This window comes from Homo sapiens, chromosome 8 (assembly GCF_000001405.40).
Source record: "Homo sapiens chromosome 8, GRCh38.p14 Primary Assembly".
Classification (NCBI taxonomy): domain Eukaryota; kingdom Metazoa; phylum Chordata; class Mammalia; order Primates; family Hominidae; genus Homo; species Homo sapiens.
The window spans coordinates 68,081,256-68,104,856 of NC_000008.11; the positions used below are offsets into that span (position 1 = coordinate 68,081,256).

Here is a 23,601-nt window from a genome sequence, read left to right on the forward strand (position 1 = left end):
CGCGCTCCTATGAGAATGTAATGCCACGGCTGACTTGACAGGAGGTGGAGCTCAGGGTTTGTGCTCACTCGCCCGCCGCTCACCTCCTTTTGTGCGTCTGGTTCCTGTCAGGCCTTGGACCCATACTGGTCCGCAGCCTGGGATTGGGGACCCCTGTCCTAGAGTCCTTCAACTGTGAACTTCTTGACCTTCTGGGAGGCCAAGTGGCTCATTCTTTGTCCCTGGAGCTTCACTAATCACAGACTGCAACCTGGAGCCCCGTGGAGACTGCATAGGGTAGCACTGTATTATGCACGGCAGATGGTTCTTCCTTTCTGTCAAGAGCTGTGTCTTCTGTTTTCCCATCACCGTTGATAGTGTTTTATATGAGTATAACTTTCATCACCAAAGGACATGCTTTAACTATTTTCTCATTGGATTAATGCTCCTGATGTTCTCTCACTTCATCAGCCTTTTTGAGACAAAGTCTCCCTCTGTTGCCCAGGCTAGAGTCCAGTGGCATGATCTCGGCTCACTGCAACCTCTGCCTTCTGGGTTCAAGTGATTCTCCTGCCTCAGCCTCCAGAGTAGCTGGGATTACAGGCCCATGCCACCAGGCCCAGCTGATTTTTTTTTTTTTTTTAATAGAGACAGGTTTTACCATGTTGGCCAGGCTGGTCTCAAACTCCTGACCTTAAGTGATCTGCCCACCTCAGCCTCCCAAAGTTCTGGGATTACAGGCATGAGACACTGCACCCAGCAACTTTACCAGCCTTTCAAACAAAAAAAACTTCTGATCATTCATTCATTCATTCATTCATTCATTTAGAAGTATTTATTTAGTGCCTGTTATATACTCAGCAGTGTTCCAGGCTCTGGGAATACAGCAACAAACAAGACACAAAATCCCCCACCCTCATAGGCCCTACTTTTCAGTGCTGTAGCCCAGGTATATCTAGTTTAAAGTGTCCTCACCTTGGTGCCCCTGGTTGGAAGATACTTAATCCTCAAGCAAACTTCTCAATATTTAGATCTTTAATGAATATGAAAATTAACAAAATATGGTATTTACCTTTGAACCTGTTTAAAGTTAGTGGTAAACTGTCACCCATCCTCCTATCTGCTAATGCCCAAGGTCTCTGTTTTATCAAAACACAGGTTCATGCAAGACAAAGCTTTCTGTACAGCACACTAATTTCAAACAAAATAACTCTGATCAACGTATGCACTGTTTAGTGGACCTGGCCAACGAATGACCATTTTTAGTAATTGTCAATGAGAAGGAAATAGTTTCTCCCAGGCATTTTCAGAGGATGGTCTTAGAGCACAGCTGCATCTGACTATGCCACTAATAAAATGCCCTCTCTCAGGCTTTCATCATTTAGCTGACAGTCAAAACAGCGGTAGTTTATAGGCAGTAAGGCTGGTTGAGAAGTGCATGCTGGTTGGCGTGGAGGGATAATATCTTCCTTGTCCTCTTTTCAGCAGCTTGCACTGTTGACAACTCTATGCTGGTTGGAGCTCTCTTCTTTGGATTCCAGGCTCCCTCTGTCTCCTGCACTGGAGCCGCTTGAGCTATGTCAGGCTAGAGATACATATTTGGGTGTCATTGATGTAGATACAGAAGTTGACACTTTCTGAGTTAATTGGCTATAGGTGGAAAACACAGTAAAAAAAATTAACTTTGGATTTGATTATAGTTAAAAGGATGAAATAAGCTAAAGAACAGTAAAATATAACAGAAGAGGGGAGTAGGATGTTAAGTCAGGGAGGGAAATGGGGATAATTTTGGTAAAGTTCTGTGTTCAAATTTAAAACTATGCCAAAGAGAATGATAACTGTGTTATCTACAGTTCTGCTTTGTGAATTTGTATAAAAACACGGCAGGTGTGTTAAAATGTCAATATCTATAAGCTCTGAAACTTTTCATATTCCAATTTTGTGAAAAACTCAAAATTTCTTATTAAAATATACTTTGACTTATTTTTTGTAATTTCTCTCTTAGATGGCTGGCATGGAAGTCGGGAAAAAGATTTTTGCTATTAATGGTGACCTAGTTTTTATGAGACCTTTCAATGAAGTGGATTGCTTCCTGAAATCGTGTTTAAACAGCAGAAAACCTCTAAGAGTTCTTGTGAGCACAAAGCCAAGAGAGTAAGTTGTATGATTTATGTGTGATTTTTTAAAAGTTATACATAGATAAGTAACACAGAAAAGATAACTAAGTAAATGCTTAGAATTAAGCATCTCATTGCTTGGAACGCTTGAACCTCACCGGTATCATTAATACTGGTTTACAGATGATGGGAGAAGCTACATCGCTTGTGATGCTGACATACTTGTTACTTGAATCATGTAGTTTTAGTGGAAACAATGCTTTTCTTTTGCTGCCCACATTTTCCTGGTCTGGGTTGAATTGGGTTTTACTATGAGTGAAGAAAACTAGTAGAACATTTGAGAATAAGGAACTGTGTTTCTCCATGTTCGGCTATAAGAATTTCTGGTGCTATCAGATGATTAGATACCAGATACCATTTATAATTTAACACTCATAAGAGATGCAAAAAAGACTGAAAGATAATCCATACTTGCATGTGCTTAGTAATTTGTCCATTTCTTTAAAAAATTCTATTAACTATCTACCTATGATTAGAAAAAAAGTTATGTTTATTATAGAAAATGTAGAGAATACAAATGTTTCTAAAGGGAGACTTTTTTTCTTGCAATATCACCCATAAATAGCCATTGTTATTCCTTTGAAATTAAGTATTAACTAAAGTTTTTAAAGTATTGGTACACATATACACAATCAGGTACCCACAAAATGAGAGCATGCTCTGTATGCTACTTTTTAATAACATACCATGCATATACTTGCAAGACATGGGCTTTTCTTGTGCAAATCATTTCCATCAATGGTTTAGTATTTCCTTATCATATTTACCTTGAATTGTTTAACCACTTAATTAATTGAGATAATTTGTACAAACTATTTAGCATAATATATCAAAATTATTGTTTAAATTTTACTTGTATCATTTGTCAATCATGATAAGCAACTTCATTAGTTTTAAAGCAAATGAAATTTAGCACTTCAAAAATAAGATTTTTTAAATTTTAACTACCTATTAAAAGTACATGCAGTATTCTTCCCTGCCTTAAATATATTTTAATATGTAAAAATACATATTTATATGTAATATGTTTATATGTTATATATATTCAGGAATAGCTGGATGTACTTCTGCAGTGTTAAGTATCTTAAGAGTCAAAGTGCAGTGCAGTGGGCTGGGTTCTCCCTAGTGAGTCTCTTCAAGGCAGTGCGAATTCATTAAATTAGATGCTTTAGCTTCTACCAATAGTTTACCAAGAGGTCTGAAAGAGTGAGCCTGACACTCACTTTTTACTAATGTAGGAAGACGGGGCTAGAGGGCAGGAAAGAAGCACAGCAATGTCTTCCCTCTAAACCTAATTATGGTCTGTTCCTCTCCCTTTATTCAACTCTGTCTAGGAGAAGACTGTCCTGCTTGCCCACCTCCTGACACTTTGAGGGCATTTAAAAGGAAGAAGACAGACTGGAAAGGAATAAGGGAGTAGTATTGAAAGCAATCATTACGTCCTCCCTAGGGCCCCCTGATTTAACCCTACAAATACTGATCTACTGATCAGAGACATTCCAACTGTTAGAGACTTTGAGGTCATCAACTTCAAAACTGAATAAATAGGAGCAAATCCTCAGTCATAGACTTAGTTGCTAGATGAGCAGAATAGCAATCTGTGTCTTCTGACTCTTCTTAGTGTTCGTTGCGCTGTGTCTAGAACTCTAGATTACAGGTTCAAGCCTCTCTTCCACTACTTGCTAGCTAAGTGTATAACTTCACGTCCTCATCCATAAAATGGGGATAAGAGTACCTGTGCCATGGAACTGCAAAGAATGTTGAATAAAACTAGGTTTGTAAAGAACTTAGTGAAGTATCCAGTACATAGTAAGTACCCAGTGATGTTATATATGATGCTGTTGTCTTCTCATTTTATTATGTTTCATTGCTACTTTATTATATCAAGAGCATATTTTACATTGTATAGCATACTCATTTTTTTGAAGATGGCATACTCATTTTTAAAAAACTTGTTTGAAATAAATGACTTTTCCTTTATGTCCTTATTCTAATGTATGAGTTCTATAAATCACTGTCATATTTTCTTACAATAGCTTCTTGGAATTTAAGTAGTATCCCATTTTGAGGAAAAGGGAAAAATATGAGAGATAAATGCAAAAGAATTTTCTTTTGATTCTAGCTATATTTCATACTTGATAGCATCAAGGGATTTTTCAAAAGACTTTGTAGCAGATAATTTAGTACACTTATTTTCTGTAGGAAATAGAACATCCGTCTTGTATAAACGTAATTCTTTTTTAATAGGGAATATAATGTTCTCACCAGGGAAACATGTTTTCTAAAGATCATTTTACTAAGGGGCTTCCAACATTTGGACCAAAATGCATGTCATGGTGTTTTGTACAATTTCGATTAAGGAAAAAATAATTCTCTTAAAGATTAGAGTCAACCTTCCATAGCAGTGTTAGAAGGATAGAAAAGCCTTGCTCAGTAAGATTGAGAGGCCACTGTGAATTACTCAAAATCCAAAAGCAACAATAATTCACCATGGCCTGAAAGTTCTATGTTGTTTCAGCAGAAGTGAACTCTCATTCGTAATATATAGAAGCATGAACTTCTTCTGATTTTGTTTCAGGCTCACCAAAATATGTATTCATTCCCTTTTTCTTTCTTTGGTCAGTTATCTTTCATTTTCAAGTGAAACTTTGACAAACACTGATAACTATGTGTTATTCAAAGGAAATGAATACAGCCCTGTACACCAAAAACTGTTTAATTAAGGATAAAGGATACATTAATTCTGTGACCTCTATCCCACATACATACAGATAACTTCATAGTGTATAACCTAATTTATAATAATACTTTCAAGTTTTCCGAGAGCAGAAAATCTTCATTTCTATCCCTGAATGCCTGCCTAGGTTATATTTGAGATTGCAGTGCCAGCCTCTCTGCCTTAGGCCTAAATGTAGCCTATGGCTTTCTGAAGTGTTTGAGCCCTTAGTTTTGCTCAAACTCTCCCACAGCAATTTCATAAACTGCAGATAAGTCCTGCTGTATCTACCTTCAGACTCTGTTTAATATGCCCTTGAAGTGCTGCTGACATTTGCTTTGTGATTAACTCATCTTTTGGGAAACACTTTTGTTTCTTGGGCGTCAAGGGCTATCTATCACAATTTATTGCGTTGTATTCATTTGTTTTTGTTCCCGGCTGCGATATCATACTTGTATTGTTATGATGTTCCCTCGCATCTTGCACTCTCTGCTTTTCATTGTTGCTATCTGATTTCTGGCTTTCTTCAGTGGAGTATCTTATTTATGAGTGCCAAATTGGACACCCCTGACTGGTTTGCCGTGACAGCTTGCTCAAGTTTCCCATCTCTTCATAATCTTTTTTCTTTTTTTAATGTAGATTCATTGGAATGATTTCTTCTCTTATTCAGGTTTGCCTTCTGATGTATTATTCTTTTAAACCTTCATTGCATAAATACTAAAGTGAATCATTTTCTTAAAATATTTTGATACCACGTTTGACAGATCTGTTCTTTATAACTAGCTCTTTGTTGTTCTTTGATAAAGCTCCCAATAGGTAGAAATGTATTAACTCTGTATTTCTGTTACATTAATTTTTATAAAGAATTTCATAGGTCCCTCATTGTTTTCTTTGTAACAGTAAACTAAGGAGAAAAGTTTCTGTTTTATTAAGTACCTGTATAGCTCATAGCACAGTACAGGGCAACTTACCAAGGTTATTTCTTTTTAATTGCCACAGATACCCTGCAAAATAACTTTTAACAATGTTATCTTTCTGTGTCAGAGTAGTTAAGGAGCTTATCTAAGTTATCCACCTACAAACTGACTACTTGAAGATTCAAGGCTACGTTTAAGCAGGTATGGTGGCTCACACCTGTAATCCCAGCACTTTGGGAGACTGAGGTAGGAGGATCACTTGAGTTCAGTAATTTAAGATGAGCTTGAGCAATGTAGGAAACCCTGTGTTTATGAAAAAAATAAGGTAAAATAACCAAGCATGGTGTCACCTTGTGCCTGTAGTCCCAGCCACTTGGGAGGCTGAGATGTGAGGATCACTGGGACAGAGAGATTGAGGCTGCAGTGAGCAGTAATCAAGCCACTACACTCCAATGTTCCTTTTTCAGGCTTTACTGTGTAACGACTGTGTTCAGTTTAGAAACACTGTATTGCATGAGGTTGGGGACCATGTTCGTCTCCAAGGATTTCTAGCCCAACATCTTTCACACTGTAGATCCTCAATATGTATTTATTGAGAGGTGTAAAGCTGTACACGACGATTATTTCAACCAGTTTTGATTCTTACGCTTCATCTTACCTTATTTTCTGATTGATTTAGGACAGTGAAAATTCCAGATTCAGCTGATGGACTTGGCTTCCAGATCCGGGGATTTGGCCCTTCTGTTGTGCATGCTGTAGGAAGAGGTAGGAAATTCGTCTTGCAGGGAAACAGCTTTCCAGCAGGTTTGGGATGTGCCCGATGGAACAGGAATGTGTTTAAAATAGGCAGAACCATGCTGTGATGATTCTCAATTATATTTTCACTGTATTAACTCAATGGTAGCACATTCCAGAAACATTAAAAAAACGAAAAAATTCTAAGCCATATTTATCATTGTTAAAAAATTGATATAAGAATTATGCCTAAATCTCACTTTTCTGCATCCTTCAGTTTATCCAAAGAATATAATAAATTTAAGATTTTCTATTTGTATTTTTCTTGATTTCAAGTAATTGTATTTCTTTGTCAGTAATCCAAAGTTGTGAGTTTTTAGGTTTAAAGTTGATCTGTGGACTTTATAACCTATTGCTATATACTTCCTTCGGGTACTTTTATAAACCGTGGTTAAATCCCATCATAAGATGCATTTTAAATTCAATAATTTTAGTGACTAAAAAGTTATGTTTACACTTATTCTTTTTTGTTTGATTATTGACATCTCTTCTTATCATATGTATTTTTTAAATTTTAAATTGACACTAGCAACAATTGAAGGAAATAACTGTCAGATCCCACATTACTAAACATAGTAAGTAACTTGCGCCTATAGCAAGAAGTGTCACTATTAGCATAAGAAGTCATGTGTTTATCTAACAAGAGACATACATGCTTTTTATTACTAAAGAATGTAAAGTATCTTGATGTGATCACCCAAAAATTTGGCAAGAAAATTTTAAGAGGGCATTTTTATCAGAATCAAATTTATCAAGGACATACTAGCTAGACCTTTATTATAACATTACTTTCATTATTGTATGTATGATAAAAACATCTGATTTCAGAAAGCTGTGTTTCTCTCAGATTTCTAAAACATATAGATGGATAGACAGTTAAAATCTTCCCAATAACTCATTAAATATTGTCAAACTAAAATGGGATATTGAGGCACCAAATATCTTCTGCATTTTCATGAAGACAAAAAGGAATAATTCACATTAATAGTGCTATAAAATAGCTTAAAGCCTGAGTGAATCAAGCTGTACCTCTTCCCTTATTACAATGTCATTTAAAGAGCAAGGTTCTATCTTTGGAGCTTAGTGGTGGGGTTGGCCTACGTCTGGTTTCTGTGCTTTTTGCTTCTGAAGAGTAAAAGACAGAAATGCTCAAGTGCTTTCTCTCTCAGATGTGTATGAAATGGAAAGATATTTGGTTATTTTTTGGCACTGTAATTTTGCCACAAGAAAAAGAGATTTCTCGTGTGGGTCACTGCAGTCACGCTTGCCAGCATCCCCAGGCTCCCCTGCCTCCCACCCTCAGCTGCATTCTAGCTACTGCACTTCAGCCTTGGATCAACCTAACCACATCTTCTCTCTTTTTCCCTTGTAGCTGGAAAAGACTGTCATGGTTATTGAATTAGTGTCTCCCAATTGACTGTCTTCTACTGGGCCCGTATTACTACTCAGCATTTTTAAAAATGTGTCCTTGATCAGTTTTTTTTGCTCCTCAAAATTGCTTCCTATATCCCAAGATGAACTTGTTCCTACGTTACAGACAAATTCAGCCTTTCAGACAGGAAGCCCTCGGAGTCTTCCATTTATAGCAAGGTTGAGACTCTTAGTCAAGGCAAAGACTTCACAGTTGGCTCTATTCAACTCTCCAATCCTGTCTCTTCCATCCACTCCCATTCTAAGCTCACACAAACAGAACAGCTTGGATGCTTCCAAGTGGCCAGGTGATTTCTTGAAGCAAGGCCATTTTTCAGGCTGTTCTTTCTGCTGATAATTTTCCATTTTCCCCTAAGACTCAATTCAATGCAGAAAGCCACTTAACATTTCTAGGAGTGAATTTTATGGGGATTAAGAAGAAATGCAAAGATATATTCTTGAATGTAAATTATTTTCTTAAAGATGTTTAATAATTTCTTTATGAGAGACATTGGTCACAAAAGAAGTCTCCTCTAATATATTTACAAGTTTATAATCATTTGTATTAATTATTTGCATTGTATTCATTACATGTATTTATTAATGGTATTTTGTTAATATTGATTTGATCACACTATCAAATAACAATAATTGGAAGGTTGTGAGAAATCTTAGCTCACTGGTTAGGATATGTTACTTTCATATTTAAATCTATATCAATGCAAACAAAATGACAGGATGAGTGATGCTATCTCATTAATTCTGTTCTCTACAAATTCCCATCTTTCTGACTTTTTGTATATATGTCAAACTCTTATTTTTCTTGGAAAAACCAGTCCAATCATAGTTGCTCATTGACTTGATTTTTCTCTTAAGGATTTTCTTTTTTATGTGCATGTTAAATTGTTGTCATTTTAAAAAACAGAAGTGAATACTATTTGAATATTTAGAAATGTTGTAGAATAAAGGAAGGTAAGTAAGGCATATGTTTCTGGTCTTCTCATTTTGCCATTATATATGCATATTTAGAAAGACTGACTAGACATTTGGAAGGAAAAAGAACTGATTAGTATTATAAAGGTCACTTTGCAACATCCCTTCAAACTAATTCTTAGGGAGGTGAGAAATATTCTATTGATCACAGTTTGAAAGTTAAGTTAAAAAGCAGAAAAGTGTTGAGTGGGCATTGCTCTCAGAACCAAGTTTATCAAGATTATACTAGCTAGACTTTGATCATATTTTAAAATTGCTTCCATAATTGTATATATCATACAAATGAATCTTATTCCTGAAATTTGTTTTTGGTTATTTTCTCATTTGTATTTATAGGAACTGTGGCTGCAGCAGCTGGTCTTCACCCTGGACAGTGCATTATCAAGGTGAATGGAATCAATGTCAGCAAAGAGACACATGCCAGTGTCATTGCACACGTTACAGCCTGCAGGAAGTACAGGCGGCCAACGAAGGTAAGTGGCCCTTCAGATAATCTGGATCTGAGTGACTACTTGCATAAAGACCTAAGGGGTTGAGGTGGGATAGTGCCAGAGATATTTGTGGTTTCCAATTTTAAGTTTAAAATTAAACACAGCATTATAAATCTCATAATGATTGCTTTATCTGCATAATTAATTATAATTGATTGTGTTTAAATGGTTACATTTTAGTATTACAGTACCGCCATCTGTTTAAAAAGTGATCTGGGGTATTTTCATTTTCATTGAGATACAAGTTCTATCAAATTGAAATCCAAAGGTTTGAACTGTTTTCTTGGCCCTTGTGATTGCTTTAGAATATGTAATGATCATTGTGTCTGTGTCTGTATGTATGAACTATAAATACCTATATTCTTTATTAGAAAACTTCTGTGAAAAAGCAAAAATTGTGGGTTTTATAAGGTCCATGATTGATTTTGAGGTATATTTATTTAGGTAACTGGATTTAGCTCTTAAAGGAAAATACCAAAATGTATTTAGGTAACTGCATTTAGGTCTTAAAAGAAAATACCAAAATGTACTCGGCGTTATCTAAAATTGTAGAACACTATCCTTTGATCTACAAGTGCCACAAAAAACTAAAATTAGAATCATAATTCATAAGCAAAGCTATTATGAAGAAAATGTGAGTATTGGCATATAAAAGAAAACTCCTGCAATGTAATTAGCTAGATGCAGGCAGAACTTTACAGGAGAAGCCTTGTATTTTCCTGTCATGGATAATGAAGTACTCATTTCTGGATTGGATTTGAGGATGCAACTATGTCCAAACCTGGAAGATGAATGGCCATTTTCTCATAAGCCAGGGCTGATGGCCTGCAAAATGCTGAATCTACATGAAAATAACTGATCAGTTTTACTTAATGAGAAGGTCAGACCTAGCATAGCAAATTGGAAGTTATATATAGGCTCATAGGTTACTCTGGTTGATAGAAGCTTGATAAATATTTGTTGAACTGTATTATTGAATGAATGTTTAAAGTCTCATCGGAAATGATCAAATCTTTTCTCTTCTACCAGAATGTTAATAAGCAGAGAAATCGATTTGAGTTTCATTTCTTTTTATTTTCCCTGCCTACCCTCTTATAGAGGTGTTGATCAGTGAAATAATTAAAGAAAAGCAATAAATGGGCAGAAAAATCCACTAACATGCTCTACCAGATATCCATTGCCACAAAATAGACCACTGCAAAACTTAGTGGCTTAAAACAATGATAATTGACTATTTGTCTTGATTCTATGGGGCGGCCGTGGGGTGGTTCCTATGAGGTTACTGACGTGGCTGCATTCTGCTGGGACCCGACTTTTGCTTCCCCTGTTCGTGGCCTCTGTTTCCATGTGGCAGGTCACCCTCCAGAGCACCTTTGCATGGCCTCTCTTTCCAGTCTCTAACGGGGTTTTCTTTTCAGTGTGTGTCTGAATTTTAAGAGGGAACATTACAAGTGATAAATGTTCTACTTAGATTGTACTTGCTAGTATCCCTTTGGACAAACCAAATCACGTGGCCAAGCCCAGGGTCAATGTGGGAAACTAAGCGGTGCGGCTCATTGGTGGCCACAACAGGGCACCAAGATGTAATGGAATGATCAAATGTTAATTAGCATTTTAATGATTTGTAGCAATATATTAATTAGACACACTTGAGAATCGAATACAAAAAATAGATAATACATATTGTATCATACTTCAATAATGCAGTTTAATTTGATTTAACATCTTATCTAGAAAATCTATAACCCTTAAAGTAATGCAACCCTTGAAGCATTTGTTTGGTAGTCATCTCATCTCTCTCATTTCTCTAAATAAGACTGGAACTGCTGTTAAAATATAGGATAATTTTTAAGGAAATCGCCCTTAAAAATAGGATGTTTTTTATTTGGAGGGATTAAAAGATAGTTACATTACTTGGGAGACCAATGAGATGAATGATGTCCTTCCAATTTTCATATTTGTTTGATTCTAAAATAGCAGTAAATGTATTAGAATATATCTGACTATTAGGGGAACATGTAAATGATTTGTACAATTATAGATAATTGATTCATCAGACAAGTGTCCCTCTCACAATTGTTTTATTTTGTTGTCTTATTAAAAAGAGATGGGGTCTCACTACGTTGCTCAGGTTGGTCTTGAACTTCTGGGCTCAAGCGATCCTCCCACCTCAGCCTCCCAAAGTGCTGAGATTATAAGTGTGAGTCACCATGCCCAGCCACATTTGATTATTTTAAAATGTGATTTATAACTTACTTACGATATACTTGAAGCATTTAAGTAAGATATTTTGGAATATATCCTATTTAAAAACATACATCTTTGGAACATATCTTAGAAGATAAAACTTGAAGCTTTAAAAAGTCAGTTTGTTAGGCCAGGCGCAGTAGCTCCTGCCTGTAATCCCAGCACTTTGGGAGGCCGAGGCAGGCAGATCACCTGAGGTCGGGAGTTCGAGACCAGCCTGACCAACATGGAGAAACCCTGTCTTTACTAAAAATACAAAATTAGCCAGGTATGGTAGTGCATGCCTGTAATGCCAGCTACTCAGTTGGTTGAGGCAGGAGAATCGCTTGAATCAGGGAGGCGGAGGTTTTGGTGAGTCGAGACTGCACCATTGCACTCCAGCCTGGGCAACAAGAGGGAAACTCCATCTCAAAAAAAAAAAAAAAAAAAAAGAAAGAAAGAGTGTTTGTTAAACAATATAATTGTCCTTGAGTTTTTATTAGTTTCTGATGTTAATTGTATCTCTCTTTCAAATTTTACTAATTTTAAAGAATCTAGAGGAATAAATAAGGCCAAGTCTCCAAATGGGCATGTATTTTAGGAAGCACTAATACCTCTGAGGTTTCTTTCCCCCCTCATTTCCAGCAAGATTCCATACAATGGGTTTATAATAGCATTGAGAGTGCTCAAGAAGACCTTCAAAAATCTCACTCCAAGCCCCCTGGAGATGAAGCAGGGGATGCTTTTGACTGTAAAGTAGAAGGTAGGTTTCTTATTTTCTTCTTCATGTGCTTATAGTATTCTTTTCCACTGTGCATGTGCCTACTCCCAAATATTGAAGGTCCTGTACATGTTGAAGCCACATTCTTAAGTCGTTATCACCAAACAGATGTCTGTCAAATGCATAAGTAATAATAGCTAGTAGCTGGCAAATTCTATTTGTTAGGCATTTTATGAAGTGTTTTTGTGGACTATCTCACTTAGTCATCAAAAAAGAAAATCTCCTAAAATGGAAATGAATATCATCATTCTTTTTTGAGTGGAGAAAACACTAAAGCCTATATAGGTTAAGGGACTTGCTCAAACTAGTTAAGTAGTAGAGTGAGGATTCAAACCCAGGTTATAATGTGTTTCCTTGTTTGGAGTTTCAGTGTTGTTTAGACCTGGCCTCCAGTGTGCCTCACAGAGCAGCAGTATCAACATCACCTGAGAGCTAGACTGAAATACAGAATCTCAGCTGTACCCCAGATCTACTGAGTCAGAATTCTCATTTTAACTAGATTTGATTTGTATGCATATTAAAATTCGAGAAGCCCTGCTCTAGAAGATTCTTTTTTACTTTTACTGTATTCTAACATTGACAGTAAGGAAAGGAGCAAACTAGTAGTGTGAAAATGAGAGAGAAACAGAGAGAGAGGGAGAGAGAGATCTTTTGATAAGGACGGTTATCATTTCTGTTTCCTCAATGGAGTAAACCAGCAAATGGCTCTGTTCAGTGGCTTCTTTGCCAAGGGCGACAGAGGCAATTACATTTATGTCTGCAATTGACAAATACCTTAAATTATTGTTTCAAAACGTTTTCACAGAAGCCCATGAATCACCTCTTATATTTTCTTGGTGTCTTTCCACTCATATTATTGGTGGATGTCTCTGGATATCTTTGTTACACTATTAGGTTCCTCCCAACCAGCACAGCTGGAGAATAATTCCCTATTCTGAGGTGTTTTCATTCAAAACCCTTCTGACATCCTGTATGTGTGGGGTTTTCCCCCATACCAACCAATTCCCCAAATCTCCTAACACCAACTGGGTGTCCTACAATTCAATTTAGTTGTAAAGCCAGGTGTTAGCACAGACACACAGGTTAGGGGATCAGCCCCACAAGGTTGCCCCCATTTCAGGCGCCTGTCACATGTCCCAGGCTTTCACCTGTATTTCTGACCAACTGGCTATATATTCAGCGGGTTCCCACATCCCTTCCTTGGGTTCAGTTATTTGCTAGAACAGCTCAGGGAACCCAGAAACTTACAATCACTGGTTTATTATAAAGGATAAGAAGTGAAAAGCCTGATGAAGAGATAAATAGGGCGATGTCTGGAAGAGTGCTGAGCACCGAGCTGTGTAGTGGGAAGCTCTGTGAGGGGTTGGGGTGTGCCACCCTCCAGACACGTGGGTGTGTTCACTCACTCAGAAGCTCTCCAATTCCTGTCATTTAGGGATTTTTATGGAGGTTCCATTCCTTAGACGTGATTCATTAAATCATCAGCCATTGGTGACTAAACTTGAACTCTAGCCTCTCTCCCCTCCCCAGAGGTCCAGGGGTGGGTCTGAAAGCTCCTACCCCCTAATCGCATGGTTGGTTCCCCTGACAACCAGCCCCCATCCTGACACTAGCTGTGGGCTCACCAAGTGCCACCTCATTCACATAAACTCCGTTATGTTCTAAAGGGGCTTGTTATAAATAACAAAAGACATTCCTGTCACCTCTATCACTCAGTAAATCACAAGGATTTAAAAGCTTTTTTTCAGGAACGGGGCCAAATACATACATACATACATACATACATACATACATATATGTGTGTGTGTGTGTGTGTGTATCTATGTGTGTGTGTGTGTGTGTATATGTGTGTGTATATATATATCTTTCTTTCTTCCCTTCCTTTCCTTTCCTTTCCATTTTTTTTTTTTCAGAGTCTTTCTTTGTCACCCAGGCTAGAGTGCGGTAGTGTAGTGGTACTATTATAGTTTACTGCAACCTCTAATTTCTGGGCTGAAGTGATCCGCCGTCAGTTCCCTACCCCTTCCAGTAGCTGGGACTACATGCACATGCCACCATGCCCAGCTAATTTTTTAAATTTTTGATAGAGACAAGGTCTTGCCATGTTGCCCAGGCTGGTTTCAAACTCTTGAGCTTAAGTGATCCTCCCATTTGGCCTCCCTGACTGTTGGGATTACAGGCATGAGTCATGGCGCCTAGCCTGTATTTCTTACTGTATATTCCCTATACACACTGATCGTATGGGGGGTACTTAGGAAAAGCTGTTTTCTCTGCACTCCTGGAAGGCCACTTGGTTGGATGCTACCCAAATCATGGGTAATATCAGAAACATCTCAACTCATTGGAGCAATAAGGTTGTTATGGTAATACATAATATTTATCCAAAACAGGACAAATCTCAGGACCTTATTCTGAGGTTTGTATTCCTAATTTGGAATAAATCAACGTTGGTGCCACATTGAAAGGTAGATTGGTTCCTATAATGCTCTGGAAATTGATTTGTAGCTATTCTAGGACTTAGTTACTTTAAGATAAATCAATATTCTACTTTTGCCTATTTAATATTTACTGTTTATGCTATTTTTGGGCTTTGTTGTTCTAAGTAAACTAATATTCTAGTTTTGTTTATTTAATTACTATTAGGTTTCCCAGGAGTTTCTTACTTGAGATTTTAGGTATTTTTCACCAGCTGACGTACCATATGTAGGCTAAAAAACTATAGGCAGACATTTTAGATGGAAATTTTATTATAGTGAACAATGAGAAATTTTCTCAATGAGCCCTCTCTGTAAGTTGCTGTTTGGGAAACTGCAGGCACCCTGTCTGCCAAAATAAAATGATTCTTGCATCTCCTTTCTGCTTCTTCAATATGGCCTTCTTTATGGATTTTTTTCCTGCTTTAAGAAAATATTCATACAACATTCGAGGCAGTTTTAGAAATCCTGACTTTAAGTCATACATGTCTTTAATAAAAAAAATTTAGGTATAGTATTTATACTGATATAAATAGGTAGACATATGGTCCACAGATTGAAGTAGATATGCAAAGATAAGACTAGTCATGTTAGAGTGCTGAGGTTTGGATCACTCAAGCATATGCTTTTCTCGAAATGTTATTTTTTAAAATGTTAACAAGAATAGATGCTTCATTTAACACATCAGATTTAACCATCCCTTAAAGAACTCTTTAAAAATTATTTAAAGAGACACAAAATTATTTGAGGAGATTAACAAATCCTTCATGAATTTACTGAGTTACAGTTGTCTTTGTTCCAGAGGTTATTGACAAATTCAACACTATGGCCATCATTGATGGGAAGAAGGAGCATGTGAGTCTGACAGTGGACAATGTCCACCTGGAATATGGTGTCGTGTATGAGTACGACAGCACAGCTGGCATCAAGTGCAATGTGGTGGAAAAGATGATTGAGCCCAAAGGTTTCTTCAGCTTAACTGCCAAGGTAGGAGCGATGCTGAAGAAATAAGATTTTTTGTTCTAAATAAAGGAACTGAAATCCTCCCTCTCCTTCACTTAAAAAAATAAAAATAGCTATACATGTTGCAGCTGTCAGCTCATTCAAACTTCTTTTTTTTTTTTTCTTGAGACAGAATATCACTCTGTCACCCAGGTGAGAGTGCAGTGGCGTGATCTCGGCTCACTGCAACATCTGCCTCCCGGGTTCAAGCAATTCTCATGCCTCAGTCTCCCAAGTAGCTGGGATTACAGGCATGCACCACCATGCCCAGCTAATTTTTGTATTTTTAGTAGAGATGAGGTTTCACCATGTTGCCCAGGCTGGTCTCAAACTCCTGACCTCAAGTGATCCAGCTACTTTGGCATTCCAAAGTGCTGGGATTGCAGGCGTGAGCCGCTGTGCCCAGCCTCATTCAATTTCTTATTTTTCTCCCCCTCCTCCACTATTTGGTATGCATACAACTTCCTTTTATTGATCCTTTTGGAGCACAGTGTTAAGTTAGATGAAACCCTTGCTTAGGCAGGTGTTCATTGATATGGCAAAGACTTCACAGCATTTAAGTTTGCTGTGTCTGTGAATTCATTATTGTGAATCCAATTCAGATGGTTTTCATGACAGATGCTACTTTTTCTTAAATGTACATAATCCTCTGAAGAGTATTCAAAGTCGTGAAATACATTATAAGAAATTTCAAATTTGGCAAGTGCCATGTTTATTTCATAAAATTTCGGGAACTGTAGAGATCAGTTTATGAATAGATCCTCTGATATTTATGTAATTCTCATTTGGAAAGGACATCACCTTTGCAGAGGTCTTTAGGCTGAAACAAGATGGAGAGGAAGGAAGGGAGCCTTTATCCAAATTAATAAAATACATGGTAAAGAGGCAACTGCTGGCTTTTCATGGCCTGCCTACAAGGTAAATCCATCAGACTCCTACTGTATCCTCCACAGGTGTTGGATTTAGTGTTTCATACTGCTCTATATTCTATGAGAATTCAGATATCACAAGTAAGAAAAATGAGATGTAGCTTTCCTACCTTTATGTCTCTGTTTGAATTGTTGTTTAAAATATGAATAGTTGAGATAGATGTAGCATTTCTAACATGTATTTTTAAAATTTTAGTGGGAGGAAGTAATATAGACATCTAAATGAACTATTTTAAAAGTAATTATTTTATCTTTTGGTTTTATATTCTGAAAGTTAGCTTTTTAAAAATCTCATCATTCTGATGATGTTGTACCTCTCTATATATCTACTGATATCTAAAATATATATTTTTAAAATGCAGTCTCTTCCCGTCTACATTATAGTATTCATGGGATCCATGTAAAAGTTTGGAACCAGGTTATTATAATTATTTTCTCATTTTCCAGCTATTTCAAGTTTGCAGAATTACATGGATTATTCTATATATGACAGCATATGAACTAGTATTACAAATATCACTTGGATTTTACACATGAAGAAAAAACAGTCAAGAAAGAAATGTAGCCAAGGTCACCCTGCTAATGATAAAGTTAACTCTAAGTTCTAGACTAGTGATTAAATAAAAACTCATACTCCATAGTCTGCATAAAAGGGAAGTGGAGGTGGTGAGGGAGCTCAGATAACCAGAACATATATACATTTTATGTTTCACAGAATATTATAAAATATTGATTATGGGTATAATCAATTCTTGCAATGTCTGATTAATCAGAAATGCTACATATATATGTGTATATATATATATATATATATATATATATATATATATATCTCACATAATTAATTCTCAGGTCATTGGAAATTCTTAGTGATTGATGGTACACCTTCCCCATCAACACATATTATTACAATTGATTCAAATAGTCAAAAGAACTTACTAATTGAAAACATCACATAAATACTTTTATCTAATGCTTTTATCAGCAAGAGCTCAGATGCTGCAAGTAACATTAATTTCTACCTTACTGAAATAACTTTTCATTTATTCATTTCTTCAGCAAGCAGTTGTCAAATATATTCTTTTTGCACTTGCCAGACTCTAAGAAACAAGTAAGAATGATATTGGATTCCTTTATGTTTTTTTGTTCTACCAAATTGAGAAAAAAAAATGTTCTGAGTGACTCTGACTAAAATATAGAAGTGTCCCACAGCAGAATGTACTGATGTATCCAGCAGGGAGTCTTTGAAGTCCAGTTACCTCACCAAGCAGGCTCCTATAGTTAGCAGAAGGAAAACCTGAAATTTCAAACAGACAAGTCAGATCACTTCACTGACAGCGCCTCCTGACTGAAGGTAGAAATTCCCTGGCAGCTACCCAGAGAACAAAATAGGAAAGTTGCCCTGTATTGTTAACTTAATGAAAATTTGATATGGCTACTTTTGAAGTTTTTCTTCTTGTTTCGTTTTGTTTTTCTATGTGTGTGTCTGTATGTGTGTTTGTGTGTGTGGGTGTGCGTGTGTGTTTGTCATTGCAGATTCTTGAAGCCCTGGCTAAAAGTGATGAGCATTTTGTACAAAACTGTACCAGCCTAAATTCTCTAAATGAAGTGATTCCTACTGACCTTCAGAGTAAATTCAGTGCCCTTTGCAGTGAAAGAATTGAACACCTATGTCAGAGAATATCCAGTTATAAAAAGGTAAGTGTTCTATTGATTTTATACACAATTATTGTTGAAATTATTATTTGAATGTCAAATTTAAATCAATTTTTGATATTTTCTTTACATATTTGTTAGGTACCATTTTACTGAGATGATAACATTATATAACATTTTAGAGTTTTTGAAATGGCTTAACATCCATTACCTCATTTGATCTTTGCAAACTTGTAAGTTATGTTACTGTCCCACATCTTCAAAATATAGTAACTGAGGCCTAAAGAATTAAATTATTTTCTAGTAAAAGATAGAGCTGGGCATTGAGTGCAGACCACCTAATTCTGAAGTCAAAATTTAAAATTATACTATAGTTCTTCTTTTCTTTTCTCCCAACTAAGAGAATGAAAACTCTCAATCAGAAAGTACATAGACTGTGGGCTTTTAAAAATTAATTGATTAAGTCATTCATTTGACATATATTTATTAGGCACCCTCTATGTGCCAAGTACTGTTCTAGGTTCCAGGAATATAGCAGGGAAGGAGACAATTTCTCTCCTCTCATGGTGCTCACATTCAAGTGGGAGAGACAGCAAGTAAGTAAATAAATCCCTGCAAAGTGAGGGGAATCAAATATTGAGAAGAATTATGAGGAAATCAAAATAGGGAAGTATGGTTTAAGTGCCAGGTTGATCCTTTTGACTCTGTGGCTAGAGAAAGCCCCTTTGAGAAGGCTTGACAAGTAGAACTCTCCCTTTCAATTGGAGAGAGAAGCCTCCAGGGAGAAGGAACAGCTGGTACTGAAGCCCCAAAGCAGAAAGAAGGCCAGGGTGGCCAGAGGTTGGTGGCCGGGCTTAAGGTCAGAGGCTTAGGTGGGGCCAACTGTGAAGAGCTGTGGCAGCTCCTGTACATTTTGGGACTTGGGAAGGAGTTTGGATTTTATTCTTATATTAATGAAAACCAGTTGGAAGGTTTTAAGCAGGGGGATGACTTCATCTGATTTAGGCTTTTGAAAGATCATGCTTTTGTAGGAATGGATTGCAAGGGGGCAGAAATGGAGAAATAGAGACTGGTAGGAAGCTGTTGCAATGGCCCAGTTGAATGATGTTGATGGCTTGGACTACATTGAAGATGAAGGAGACAAAAAACATTAGATGAATTTGGGGACGTATTTTAAAGGTAGAATTAATGGGAATTCATCTCCAAAACACATGCTAAAACAAGTTTAAAAATTGTTTCTATTTATACCAATAGAAGACTAATTGATTAAATTATTTCCATCCAAATGAAGTTGGTTGCTTAAAATTTGGTGCAGCCGTACTAGATAATATTCTTTATCTCAATATATATGAATATGTGTTAAGTATATGTGTTTTATGTTCTTGATATGGTAATTAAAATAAGCCCATATATGTCTATATTTGGCTGCATGAGAATAGGGATGTGTGTAAATTAATACCCAAGGGACTCACAACATTGGTTACCTAAACTAAATGAGTCAAGGGAAAAGAGATCATGATTTTTTCCTTTAAACAATTCCTGTAATGTTTGGGTTGTTGAGTTGAGTTTGCATTACTATTGTATCTTTTAAAAAGTTACTCACATGAAGAAAACTAATATTCAGGGTTGCTGGTTACCTGCCACATTTGTTAATCTGCTTTTCATGACTGCTGAGTTCAGTTCACCTACTTGAGTTTGGGGAAGATTCCATGAATGTACCTTGTTGGAGTTGAAGGACAGAAGATTCTTTTCTTACTTCTCCTTTCTCTATAAAACATGACCGTGCTTTGAAGTAAAATTGAAGTAAAAGGTCTAAACAAATGCAAACGAAAATGCTAAACAAATGCAAATCAGTATTCTCCTTTCGAAGAAGTTTTGAAAAAGAGAGTTGTTCTACTTTAGAAATGGATCTGTACAAGAAGGTGTGATACAGGTTCAGGCAGATTCTGGGTGTCAAACTGGTCACCGTGCCTGGGACATTTCTCTTTTGCTTTCTTCCTGCTTTCCTCTCTTCATTCTTTCACACAACAAAAAAGTGGAAGTAGCTTAAAGAAGTATACATGGAAAATGGTAAACTATATAAACAAACATAATCTTAGGATCAGGGTATATTAGGTAGCAAATTGATGCAGCTGCTTTAAGAATAAGGACCAAGAGAACACAGGCTTAAATAAATGTCGGAGATCCTCAATAGTCACCTTGGAAGGTGAGAAGTATGTTCCATTTACTCATAGGTAACTGAGATCCTAGAAGCTTTTAAGGCGCAGATGGGCAGGCTAATGGGCAATGATGTTAGATGATAAAAATAATGTCACCCAATTATGGAAAGCTCTTTTATGTACATTATTGTTAGTTGAGTCTCAAAACAGCCATGTGTATGGACTCTTCTCTCATCCTGCCTCTTTCTTCGGGAGATTAAGAATTTGCTTAAGGTCACGTAGGTGGCAACTAACAGACTAGGTTCCTATGGAATGTAGTCTCACTTGTGTTTAATTTAATTTAGAAATAAAAAAGAGACATGTAGTCACCTAGGGCCTATGTGCTTTAAAAGCTCTCCTTGTCATCATACCATTTGGCCATAAACATATTTAAAATAACTGGTTTTCTCATTAGATAGAGAAGCAAGGTTAGCAAGAAAACACTGCAAGGATCTTTTCAATTTGAATAAGATTTAGGTGTCTAAGATGGTAGCCCTAATAGGTCATGTAAGATTAGCTCCATTTATGTATCAAATGCATGTCAACAGAACCCATAGCATTTGCGAATATAGATTTTTAATTTTCACACATATACTTTAAAACTATTATTAGCAACATATTTTTCTTCCTGATGAAGGCTTTAACACTCTTCTTTTTGTGAAATAAAATGTATCCATAGAAACTAAAATCTCAAAGATGCTGGCTTTACCTTATTTTGACTCTGAAAGTTTTAGGTTTTAAAAATAGAAACCAGTTGATTGCTATAGTTTCTGTAGTAAGACTGCTGCAATTATAATAGATTTCCTGGCTGGTTGTACAGGCCACAGATGTTTTTTGGCACATGTGTGAAACCTGGTCAGACCTTACTGATGACCTGGATGAATCTTAAGCGAGATGTTTTTCTCTGTGGAGCAGGATTTGGGGACAATTCGGAAGTAAAATTATGCCCTGTTGGGAGGAACACTTTCTCCTTAAATTGTCCTGGAAACGCTTCTTTGTTTTACATTTGTTCTTCTGCTTTAGAATAATTCCATAATTGGGCTTATTTTGGGTATTGGGAGTACTTCCTAGATAGAAATATTTAACATATATTCAAGAGATAGTTCCTGTTTACACAAAAATATTACCTGCAGGAACTGGAAGTCTTCCTTTGAATGTCTGAAGTCCCTCCTTACTTATTAATGCCATGTAATTCTCACACTGATATATGGACTGGGAAAATTGCAGGAAAAAATCTTCCCCGTGTCCCCTTCCCTCAAAAGGGTACAATACAAAACTTCTATAACCCCATGCCAAAAAGATTTTATGCTTAATTGAAATAGGAAGCTATCTGCAAAATAGTAGCTTACCATTGTATTATTTCATTTAGTTAAGTGACTATAGTTGGATTAAAATGTGCTGCTATAGTCAATAATTCACGAATTAGCTACCAATGCATTAAAAACCTGAAGTTGCATCTTCAGAAATTGTTTATTCGTGTCAGCGTACAAATATGTTTTATATCACCTACATTAAAAAGAAATAGCCCTCCCCTACCCCACACTGTTCCCTTTCTTTGATCTTTCTCCTGGAAAAGGCTGTCTATACCTGCTTTCTCACCTTCATTACCCTCAACACACTCCAGTGGGCCTCTTCTTCCCTCTGTGTAACTGAAATGGCTGTATTTTGCCAAAGTCTATTGACTATCCTGATAGCATTCCTTGTCTTAGTGGGATCTGATGCAGTTGACCGTAAACCTCTACTTGGTGGTTCTCCGTGACCCCACATATGCCTGGTTTTTGTCCTTTCTTGTGGGGGCTCCTCTGTGGTATCCTATGCTGACTCCGCCTTTTCTCCCCTTCCCTTTCCTTGGTAAAGCTCCAGGACTCAGGACTCCATCTTCTCCTTTTCTCTCTCCATTTTCAATCCTCTGGCGATCTCATTCAGGGTCCTGGCCTGTTTGACCTCTGCAACTGGGTTTAATCCATATCTCACGCTTCACATGTTCCAAATCAGCTCTTGATCCTTCCCCTGCCCCACCCCAGTGCTCCTGCAGTTTGCTTTTCTGCTGTCTTCTCTATCTCGGGCTTATGCCCATCCTCCCCATTGCTCAGCCTAAAACCTCGAATACACTCTTCACTTCCCTTTCTCTCACACCATTCTTGTGGCTTTACCTTCAAACATGCAGCCTTTCCTCCCTACCTCTACTGCTGGTGGCCTTGGGTGAGCCACTGCCATCTCTCCTGTAAGTGGTATCTTTGCTGCTACCGACCAACCCACAGTTGTCCTGAGTGGCTGTACACTTCACTCATGGTCAAAGCCAAATCCTTTCAATGGCCTTCAGGATCTGTGCCCTCCCTGCCTGCATTGCTTCTCCAATCCTGCCTCCTCTGCCTCCCTCTCACTGCCGCTCTGGTCACACTGGTTTTCTTGATGTTCCTTGGACACACCAGCCCTGTGGCTTTGCACTGGCTCTTCCCTCTGCCAAAAATGACCCCTTTCCAGATGCTCACATTTCTAACTTTCCACTCCTTCCAGACTGCTTAAATGCCAGCTTCAGTGAGGCCTGTTCTGATCATCCTGGTTACAACTGGTAATCCATTCTTCAGTTCACCTCTGAAACTTCCAACCCTCTTACACTGCTCAATTTTGTTTTCAGTTACATTTACCATCTATCAACATTACATAATTGACTTACTGTATTCACTGTTGACCTCTCCTCTCACTGGAATGTAACCTCCCGGAAGACAGGAATCTTTGTTTTGTTTACTGATGTTCCCCAACATGCTGAGGGCAGTACCTGATGCACAGAGAGCCTTCCACAAGTCATTGTTGGGTAAATGAATAAAGGTGGCAGTAAGTTTGGGCTTGTGGTATC

The 23,601-nt window shown here is 37.1% G+C and overlaps 1 protein-coding gene and 1 long non-coding RNA gene across 5 annotated transcripts in view; one reads left to right on the forward strand and one right to left on the reverse strand.

Annotated features, from left to right (window-relative positions):
* PREX2 (phosphatidylinositol-3,4,5-trisphosphate dependent Rac exchange factor 2) overlaps positions 1-23,601 on the forward strand; it is a 284,987-nt gene that overhangs the window by 129,210 nt on the left and 132,176 nt on the right. For all 4 annotated transcript variants that reach the window (NM_024870.4, XM_047422268.1, NM_025170.6 and 1 more), the window contains exons 18-23: positions 1,985-2,133; positions 6,469-6,554; positions 9,324-9,460; positions 12,350-12,467; positions 15,762-15,946; positions 18,427-18,588. In NM_024870.4, the coding sequence (NP_079146.2) occupies positions 1,985-2,133; positions 6,469-6,554; positions 9,324-9,460; positions 12,350-12,467; positions 15,762-15,946; positions 18,427-18,588 (837 nt within the window). The remainder of the gene's footprint in view (positions 1-1,984; positions 2,134-6,468; positions 6,555-9,323; positions 9,461-12,349; positions 12,468-15,761; positions 15,947-18,426; positions 18,589-23,601) is intronic.
* LOC105375888 (uncharacterized) lies at positions 997-13,826 on the reverse strand. The gene is made up of 2 exons (XR_929024.3): positions 13,734-13,826; positions 997-1,629 (listed from the first exon to the last, which is right to left on the reverse strand). It is a non-coding gene; the product is annotated as an uncharacterized LOC105375888 (long non-coding RNA).